Source organism: Homo sapiens, chromosome 2, assembly GCF_000001405.40.
Source record: "Homo sapiens chromosome 2, GRCh38.p14 Primary Assembly".
NCBI classification, from domain to species: Eukaryota; Metazoa; Chordata; class Mammalia; order Primates; family Hominidae; genus Homo; species Homo sapiens.
Window position 1 is genome coordinate 178,677,153 of NC_000002.12, and position 9,559 is coordinate 178,686,711.

At 35.7% G+C, this 9,559-nt stretch overlaps 1 protein-coding gene and 1 long non-coding RNA gene across 21 annotated transcripts in view; one reads left to right on the forward strand and one right to left on the reverse strand.

Moving 5' to 3' along the window:
* TTN (titin) overlaps window positions 1–9,559 on the reverse strand; it is a 281,435-nt gene that overhangs the window by 151,164 nt on the left and 120,712 nt on the right. For 4 of the 20 annotated variants that reach the window (NM_133378.4, XM_017004821.1, NM_001256850.1 and 1 more), the window contains 19 exons: window positions 8,366–8,446; window positions 8,101–8,178; window positions 7,754–7,837; window positions 7,514–7,597; window positions 7,178–7,261; window positions 6,847–6,930; window positions 6,059–6,139; window positions 5,545–5,751; window positions 4,509–4,586; window positions 4,224–4,298; window positions 3,927–4,019; window positions 3,102–3,179; window positions 2,742–2,903; window positions 2,447–2,530; window positions 2,187–2,264; window positions 1,595–1,678; window positions 1,262–1,345; window positions 973–1,056; window positions 469–765 (listed from right to left, as the gene is read on the reverse strand). The exons of 5 other annotated variants lie outside the window; for them this stretch is intronic. In NM_133378.4, coding sequence (NP_596869.4) covers window positions 469–765; window positions 973–1,056; window positions 1,262–1,345; window positions 1,595–1,678; window positions 2,187–2,264; window positions 2,447–2,530; window positions 2,742–2,903; window positions 3,102–3,179; window positions 3,927–4,019; window positions 4,224–4,298; window positions 4,509–4,586; window positions 5,545–5,751; window positions 6,059–6,139; window positions 6,847–6,930; window positions 7,178–7,261; window positions 7,514–7,597; window positions 7,754–7,837; window positions 8,101–8,178; window positions 8,366–8,446 — 1,980 coding nt within the window. Of the gene's footprint in view, window positions 1–48; window positions 136–468; window positions 766–972; window positions 1,057–1,261; window positions 1,346–1,594; window positions 1,679–2,186; window positions 2,265–2,446; window positions 2,531–2,741; window positions 2,904–3,101; window positions 3,180–3,926; window positions 4,020–4,223; window positions 4,299–4,508; window positions 4,587–5,544; window positions 5,752–6,058; window positions 6,140–6,846; window positions 6,931–7,177; window positions 7,262–7,513; window positions 7,598–7,753; window positions 7,838–8,100; window positions 8,179–8,365; window positions 8,447–9,559 lie in introns of all 20 variants that reach the window. 11 more of the 20 variants (XM_024453095.1, XM_047445660.1, XM_047445661.1 and 8 more) reach the window with 6 other exon arrangements.
* Window positions 1–9,559, forward strand: part of LOC124906100 (uncharacterized) — a 71,929-nt gene that overhangs the window by 34,836 nt on the left and 27,534 nt on the right. The gene's annotated exons all lie outside the window — the stretch shown is intronic.

Sequence of the window (9,559 nt, forward strand, 5' to 3'; positions counted from 1 at the left end):
TGACCAAGCTATGGGTGAACAATGTGTATTCACTTTGGGGAGGTGTACCTTTGGGTGGTGGTGGAGGTTCCACTTTTTTAGGGGCGGGAACAGGGACTTTCTTCTCTGGTACAGGTTTCTTTGGCACTTCAGGCACTTAAAAACATTTCATTTGAAGGCATTAAAAACCACATATACATGGTCATATATATATATATATATATATATATGAAAGAGACACGTGAGGATAAGACCACAAACATGTAAACATAATATGTGATTTGAAAAGACATTTAGATAATTTACAATAGACAGATACACAAGGCAGATACACAATAAGAACACACATGTCTGGAATGTTTTCTAAGATTTAGGTGGTCAATCACAGAGGGTAAAGGATTATAGATAAAACTGGAGATGAACAAAAGGATGGGAAAGCAGAATTCAACACAAAAGAGGCCTTGATGATTCCAAGAAGAGCTGCTATACCTGGTGCAGGTACTGGCACCTTAGGTTTAACTTCTGGAAGGACTTCTTCTTCAGGTACAAATTCTTCTTCCTCAGGTACATATTCTTCTTCGGGAGGAACTTCCTCTTCCTCAGGTGGAATTTCCTCTTCTTCAGGTAGAACTTCCTCTTCTTCAGGTAGAACTTCCTCTTCCTCAGGTAGAACTTCCTCTTCCTCAGGTAGAACTTCCTCTTCAGGAACAATTTCTTCTTCAAATAGAACTTCCTCTTCCTGAGGTAGAGCTACAGGAACTGGAACTGGTTCACGTTTCTTTGGCACTTTAAAGATATTTATTCAAGGGTACAAACATCACTTTTATGTAAAATATTCACAACAATGAAGAAGCTTATGAAAGGCAAATATTCTGTGATCACAAAGCATCAATTATTATCAACATAAATACTAAGCATTAATTATAATTAGTAAGGCTGTATAACACCAGTTAGTTTTGTCTTTTACCATGGCTCTGTTACAGATTAATGTACCTTTGGGTGGTGGTGCTTCCACTTTTTTCGGAACAGGTGTTGGTTTCTTTTCTTCTGGGATGAGCTTCTTGGGCACCTCTGGCACTTTAAAGATATTATTTATATTTAGGAATATGTTCTTTTAAAATGTCTTAGAGCAATAGATATGAAAAAGAATCACAAAATATCTGACATATTTCTAACCAGATAGACACTTTAAAAATGTACAATGTAATGGGGAAATTTGTATGTGAGTATACATAGATGTGAGTTTTTTCCCCCAAGTACTCTAAGTGATGAAATTATGTACCTTTTGCAGGTGGAGCCTCCACTTTCTTAGGAGCAGGAACTGGCACCTTCTTCTCAGGCACAGGCTTCTTGGGTACCTCTGGCACTTTAACGAAATGATTTAGAGAAAAATTTTATACGACATAAAAATACTGATTCCAAGCATAGTTTCAAAAGATTAAGATAAGGTAATAAAAGTATGACAAAGGTATTCCAAGAAGCATTTTATTTTTAAAATAAAATATTTAATTTTCTCTAAAGAGTTGCATCCCAAAGAGTACAGAATTAAACCAATTAATTTTTACCCATATGCAAATGTGAAATAAAAATATTGCAACATTGCAAGTTCATGTACCTTTGGCAGGTGGAGCTTCCACCTTTTTAGGAACTGGTACTGGTACTTTCTCCTCTGGCACAGGTTTCTTGGGCACTTCAGGAACTTCAAAGATATCAAATAGAGTTAGTGTCACATTTTTTACCCATAGCTAAGATTTTAAGGCTGGCAATGTAAGGCCTTAACTGAAGCAGCATAGATATTCTATCAATTTCACTTTAAGACTGAAAATTATAATAGCCACAAAACAAAGGCCAGAAAATACACAAAAATTAAAATAAAAAACACCGAAAAAAACGTGGACTGGTGATAAAGACAAGACACAATGCCTGGTAAATGATGGTTTTGTCCATTTTGATATGCAAAAGGAATGTATTTTACTTGAAGAACTTTCCACTAAAGAGGAGGAGCCAACCATTGAGCATAAGCATAATTTGATGGTAAAATTCAGAGATGAATACCGGGTAAACTGCTCCTGTGGCCAGTTGAGAGGCGCTTGTCATGGCATTAATGTTGTTAATATTGTCATGGGGAAAGATCTGCTATGGCTCACCAAGTTATGCTGCATGGGTGAATTATCATGCTATTCCACTGATGGATTATAAGGATGTACCTTTTGCTGGCGGAGGCTTCTCCTTTTTAGGAATAAGCACAGGAACTTTCTCCTCTGGCTTCTTAGGAACCTCAGGCACTTTAAAGATATTGTTTATTGTTAAGTTCTAACTACTAGTAACAACACATCCATATAAAACACAGCTAATGTTTTTTAACAACGGACAGTGACACACACACAAGGTTTTGAACTCAGAAGAAAGTTAACTATTTCTAGGCAGATGAAGTCTCTTAGATACCCGTCAATGAATGGTGGTGTACCTTTTGCCGGTGGAGCTTCCTTCTTCTTGGGAACAGGAACAGGTTTCTTCTCTTCTGGAACAGGTTTCCTGGGTACCTCAGGCACTTTAAAGATATTATTAAGAATGTTGGAAATTTTGCAGGAAAGAAATAAAATGTGAAAAGCACCTGTAGAAATCATATTTCAGCATCTAAAAATATCTGCTTTAAAGTAAGCAATCATTGGTGCTGCCAATAACCCCCAGAATCTGACCAAATCAGACCCCCAAACTCCAAAGATGCTGTTGCACAGCCCTTTGCAGGAGGCATCATCTACCTTTGACTGGTATCACTGGCACCACTTCTTCCTCAGTTATGAACTCCTCTTCTTCATGAATGTACTCTTCTTCTTCTTCTACAAGATATTCTTCTACATGGGTTACAACTTCCTCTTCAAAGGCAACCTCTTCTGGTTCAAGTTCTTTAGGCACTTCTGGCACTTTAAAGATATTATCTTTAAGTTGGACATTTGCCAATGACTCAACAAAATTAAGACACCTTAGAAACACAGGCCCATTTATAACAGAAGAAAGGACAAGATTTACTTTTCCCACAAAAGAAGTTTTCACACACAGAACTGAAGAGGAATTCAACAGCAAAAGACGAACAAAACATTAAAATGAGTGCCATTAGGTACCTCTAACAGGTGGTGCTACTTCTTTTCTAGGGACAGGTACTTTTTCTTCTGCGACAACCCTCTTGGGCTTCATGGGCACTTGAAATATGAAGTATAAGGAAATTTTATTGTCAGTAAAAGGCCACCCAGCCAATGCTTGTTTTGCTGTACTTTAAGCAGATAGAATAATGTATCTTCCTTTAATGAGATACATATGCGATTGTTCATCTTTAAGAAACTATATACTCTCTGTGGAAAGGATTCTGAGCTTCATATAAATACAAGTACACAGAAGTACCCAAGTAAACATGAAGTAGCAGAGCCCAAATGTGAAATGAGGTTTAGTGTTCAAATATCTCTGCTTGAAAGAAATATCCTTCCTGAAAAGTGAAATTTACTTCTCAATTAGTATACTTCATACTTAGTATGAATCAGGGGGAAAATGACTGGAAACTGGTTAGCTTTAAAAAAAATCTTCAAAATGAATTTAGAATGAATAAACAGTTACCAAAGCTTGGTGAATATTATGGTATCATTACATCATTTAGGTAAATCAGGAATATGCCAAACGGTCACTGATTTTAAACCCAAACATTCTATTTTATATGTATTGTAGCCATGTGGCAGGACACAGCCACTGGCTAACAGGCTATGGATGTATTTAGAAATAATTTTTCCTTTTAAAGGCATTATCTTCTTATCCTGTATTTACACATTTTTACATCCAACATTCTGCTGACAACTAATTTAAAAGACATGAAACAACAAAATGAAATGAATCATAGTTACATTAATTTCAAAAGAGGCATCAGAAAAGATCACAATCGAGGAAGGAAATCATTATACCTTTAGCAGCGGGTTCAGTCACCTGCTCTTTTTCACGTTTGGTAATTGAAATACGTATTTTTTCCTCAAAAACTTTCTTTGGTTCTTCAGGCACTTTAAAGATATTAATTATTAAAGAGCATTAAAACCAACTCCTTGAATACTATGTAATAAATACACATAAAAAACTGAAATGTAAGAATCAGGACAAGAACATCCTACTCAGCAAAAACACAGACCATCAGACGGGCTAGGAAGACATGATTTTAGAACATACATAACAAAGTTGTTTTTGGTGATTATTACTCAGTAATGTACCTTTGGGTGGTGGAGGTTTGAGTTTCTTAGGAATGGGCACTGGTACTTTTTCTTCAGGGACAGCTTTCTTCAGCACTTCAAAATATCAATATTAAGAGATTTTAAAAATTGAAACAGGTTTCTCAAGGCTAGCAAGAACAAAAAGTTAAGAAAGACAAATACAACATAATATTCCCAAACACACACATAATTTGTACACTGCCACTTTTACATATATTTTTATAGTAGGACAGACATGGAGGAAACAAAGATCTCTTACAGGTAATAATGTTTTTTTCACTCTACCTTTAGCCGGTGGGGCCTTTGGTTTTGTGGGAACTGGTTCTTCTGGGACAGGCTTTACAGGGATAGGCTTCTCTGGTTCTTTAAAAGTACATACAAGGTATTTCATGTTAGACTTAGAATATAAGTTTAAACATTTCTTAAAAGGAATCAAATAATTGAAATAATATCTTTTATCTACAGTATAGCCATAGCCTATTGAAGTAGGCAAGAATCAGAGATCCAAGCAGAACAAGCTCATATTGCCCTTTCCTTCTTGCTATTTTCTTTAATTAGGTAATTCTTACATATTAAAATTCTCATTTCATTTCAGGTAGATAAATTCCTGGCTGAAACTCCCCTATAATATGGTTTTTTTAAAGCTATCAGTAAGACTATGTAGAATGTTCTCAAAGTTGGGCTATGAAACATCAGAGACTGAATAAGTGAAATAAGATTGATTCATTTCAAAATTTCAATAGAGATTTATTCTTTGAGTAAAATAAACAATTTGAAGCCCAAACTATATGCCAACAAATTTGACCTTCATTAGGTAAAACACAACAGCTTGTGTTAGCTTACATCTCTATCTTAACTTTTGAAGCAGTCATTGTCAAGTTTTGATAATGGGAACCCTGTGGGTAAATACATTTTCTCAATAGCCTATCATACTCCGTAATAGCAAGTTTTAGAATAAAGGATGTTCAGAAATTTTTAACCATGTACTAGAATGATCACGGGCACTTGAAGATAAACTTGTAACCTTTTTGAAAAAGAAACTTAGGGACATTTGCTATTTTGCATACGAGCAAAAATGAGGGGGGTATTAGATTATTCCCGGAACAAAAGTCTAACAATAACCTTAAGATTTATAGAGGGTTTTTAAAATTTTTTCTAGAAGTTATCAAAGAAGAAAATTCCGCATTTGCGAAATGAAACAAAGTTCTTTCCAAATTTCTTTGGGTATCCAAATTTTTATCTTGTTATGATTTATCTTGTTTTATCTTGTTTGAGTGTGCACATATTTAGTGTGGTTTTGAGTTTGCAGTTTTGCTCATACCTGTGATGTATTCTTCATGCTCTTCATATCGTTCATACTCCCGCTCCTCGTATTCTTCATATTGGTCATATTCTTCTGTTGGTTCATACTCCTCAAATTCTTTATAATCATATTCTTCATATTCCTCATATTCTTCTTCCCGTTGTACTGAAACAGCTTCTTCTTCTAGGGTATAAGCCCTTTCTTTCTCTTCCATTATAGTTACTTCTGAAACAATATTAACAACAGGCAGCACTTTACTTTAAAGCACTTTTAAGGATGACTGATAGTAACAATGTGCTTTGATTTTATTCTTTTGCGTTTGTTTCATGCACTGATTATGGGAGACCCTGACTGTTCTTTTTTGGCCAGTCAAGGTATCATAGAGTATATTTAGCAATTGTGATTTCAAATGTTATATACCCTGCCCTTAATCAACAATAAGCTAATAAAGTATAGGAGTCAGATTGGGAACTAGAAGGCAAAGAGCCAGATAGTTTCATGCCTCACATTACTTAATCAAAGTTCAATATACCTTTGATGGGTTGAGGTTCTCTTTTTGGAGCTTCAATTGATACTTTTTCTTCTTTAACCACTCTTTTTCTGAATTCAGTCACTTTAAAGGAGTAATTATTAAAAGTGAATTGCAAGATTCTGAAAATGTGTGTGTGAAGAGAAATTTTGTTCAAACAATTCAAGGACAAAGACAACCATAACAGTGCCTGATTAAACTTTCATTTAAAAAGCAAGAAAATCAATAGACTTGGAAATAAACTTACTCTAATATACATATGAAGTACGTCAAAGACATTGAATAATTTTAGGAAAATCAAGTAGTATTTATAAAAGTTTAAAAAGACAACTAAACAGCATAAATAATGACTATCAAACTAAGTAGAAGCATTAGACAGAAACCTATGTTACATGAATAGTTTCTTCACCTCACTTCTAAGACATTTTCCTTAGCTCTATTGGTACAATGTAGAAAATTCAGAATTGAAAAAATTAAAAATTTCATCAGAGATTGCCACATAAAGCAAGCATCTAGGCAGATGAGTTTAGTATATGGAAAAGACATTAGAAGACAAATACAGATTAAGGAAAATTATTCACATACGTTTAGAAGAAGCCTCACTTTTTTTTAAGAAAAAAGTACTTTCTGTTATCAAAAATGTTTAGTTTTGAAGTGATATGCATTAACAAACTTATATTGCTTACTTTATACTATGTCTTTTTTTTTCTAATGGAACCTATTCCACTAGATTAGTTTTAGTGTCTGGATGCTTATTTTGATTTTTTTTTTTTTTTTAAGAGTCAGTATACCTTTAGCTGGTGGTTCCTCCTCTCTTTTAGGTTTGAGTTTCAGAACTTTTTCTTCTGGGACAGCTCTCTTCGGTTCCTCTGGCACTTTAAAGAGAGATTTCACTTTAAAGTATTGTTTCCCTCTTTCAAACCACAAAAAGGCAGCCATAAAGTAGTAGCCCAAACATAAACACTTGACATTTTCATTATTTCAAACATAAAACAACAACTGTAACAACAACAACAACATCAACAACAACAACAACAACAAAAACCAGCCCCCATAACCAGTGTATTTGGTAAAGAGAGTAGGGCAAGTACAATATTGTGCATAATGGAAGGGCGGATGTACCTCTTGCTTTTGGAGGCGCCTCTTTTTTAGTTACAGCAACAAGAACTTTTTCTTCCTGGGTAATTTGCATGTGCCTCTCAGTCACTTAAAAGATAATTTTAGGATTAGGGAGTTATATCAAAGTGGACGTAAAAAATATACTAGCCAGAAAGTACTGTGATTTTAGAATAGAAGAATTTACAAGGCACACACACAAAAACATCACAAGTAATACTCTACCCAAAGACACCATTGTCACCCACCAACATATAAACAGTATGACCCAAAGAACAGCAGCAGAGAGAAAGAAAGACAAGCCATATGTTCCTAGTTTTTCTGCTGGGGAGGTTTGTTTACCTTTGGCTGGGAGAGGTTCTTCCATCTTAATGACTTTTGGAGGAACCTTTTTTTCTGGAACTGGTTTCTTTGGCTCTTCTGGCACTTAAAAGATACCAGGCAATACCATCAAACATACGATATGGAAAACACTAAACACAGGCACACTTATTTTCTGGTTAATGTTTAAAAAATCTGAAGAATGTATCAATTTAAGATTAAAAAAAGACAGTCTTGAGAATAAAATAAAATCCAATATACCTTTAGGTGGGGGCACCTTTTCCTTTTTAGGAACTGGAGCAGGAACTTTCTTTTCTGGCACAATTTTCTTAGGTGCTTCAGGAACTTTAGAAAGATTAGGTTTAAGAATATGAGTTTGCCTTACATATGAAGTGACACAGTTGTGGGGCTTAGCATTCACTTTTTGAAAAGATTGCACATATATACAAACGTTAATGACTATACTCAGTAAATACGTTCATACATGTGTTCTGACAAAACGTAGACAGTTATGCAAATTGTTATGCATAAGACAGTTATGCAAATGTGAAGGTATTATTATATACATTAAAATAAATAGTGTTGCATTTCTTTGAAAGAAATCATACCTTTAGCCGGTGGAGGCTCCTCTATTTTAGCAGGAATTTTTGGTTTCAGTACAATTTTCTTCTCCTGCCTCTCTGTCACTTGAAAAGATTATAAAATATGTTTGTAGAAATGTCTAGATTTCTTTTCGATAAAAGTGTAAGGGATCTTTTTATTAGACATGATATTTATCAATATTTGCAATATGGATGACAAATTAGCTATAAGGAAACATAAAGAAGGAGACAAGCTAACATAGGGATAAAACTAATTAAAGAGTCAGCATACCTTCAGCTGGCTCAGCTTCCACTCTCTTAGAAATAATGTGCAGCTTTTCTTCCACAACATATTCCTCAGGCTCTTCCATCACTTTAAAGACAGCAGTTTTAAAGAAGATAAATTACAGTGTTTTTCATGTTTATTTTTAGCTTTAATTTATCACTTCAAAGAGTAATCAAAATAGCAAAAGTTTAACCCTTGCCAAACCCCTGCTTGTTCCTATTTAAAATACTCAAAGAGCATTTTAATCAAAGCACATGCGTTAATGAAGAGTATGGGAAATGGGAAATAGGTTTCATTAACTTAATTTTCAAATGTGTCATACAGATAATAATGCTTATATCCACAGCAACGACAGGACAAGTACGGGACAAGAAACGATTATAATAGCTGAGTTAATAAGAACAGAAGAATTTGAAGATGAGTTTCACAAATAGCAGAGCACTGTAGATTTGAAGGCCACAGGGCAGAAACATACTTGAGGATTTAAGTGAATTGTAAGATAATATTCCATATTGTTTTCCCCGCCAGTTTTGTGGGGCAGGTATGGTAGAAGAGGCAGGAGGCTTCACATGATTTTTGAGCCTAAGTGTATACAGTTTTAATTTTTTTTTTTTTTTTTTTTTTTTTGAGACGGAGTCTCGCTCTGTCGCCCAGGCTGGAGTGCAGTGGCGGGATCTCGGCTCACTGCAAGCTCCGCCTCCCGGGTTCACGCCATTCTCCTGCCTCAGCCTCCCAAGTAGCTGGGACTACAGGCGCCCGCCACTACGCCCGGCTAATTTTTTGTATTTTTAGTAGAGACGGGGTTTCACCGTTTTAGCCGGGATGGTCTCGATCTCCTGACCTCGTGATCCACCCGCCTCGGCCTCCCAAAGTGCTGGGATTACAGGCGTGAGCCACCGCGCCCGGCCAGTTTTAATTTTTTTTAAGACAATGTCTTGCTTTGTTGCCCAGGCTAAAATGCAGTGGTGTAATCACAGCTCACTGTAACCTCGAACTCCTGGGTTCAAATGATCCTCCTGCATCAGCCTCCTGAGTAGCTGGGACTAGAGGTGCATGCCACCATGCCTAGCTGTTTTTTTAATTTTTGTAGAATGGGGCTTGCTATGTTGCATAGGCTGGTCTTGAACTCCTGTGCTCAAGCAATCCTCCCTTCTCAGCCTCCCAAAGCACTGGGATTATAGGCATGAGCCACCATGCCTG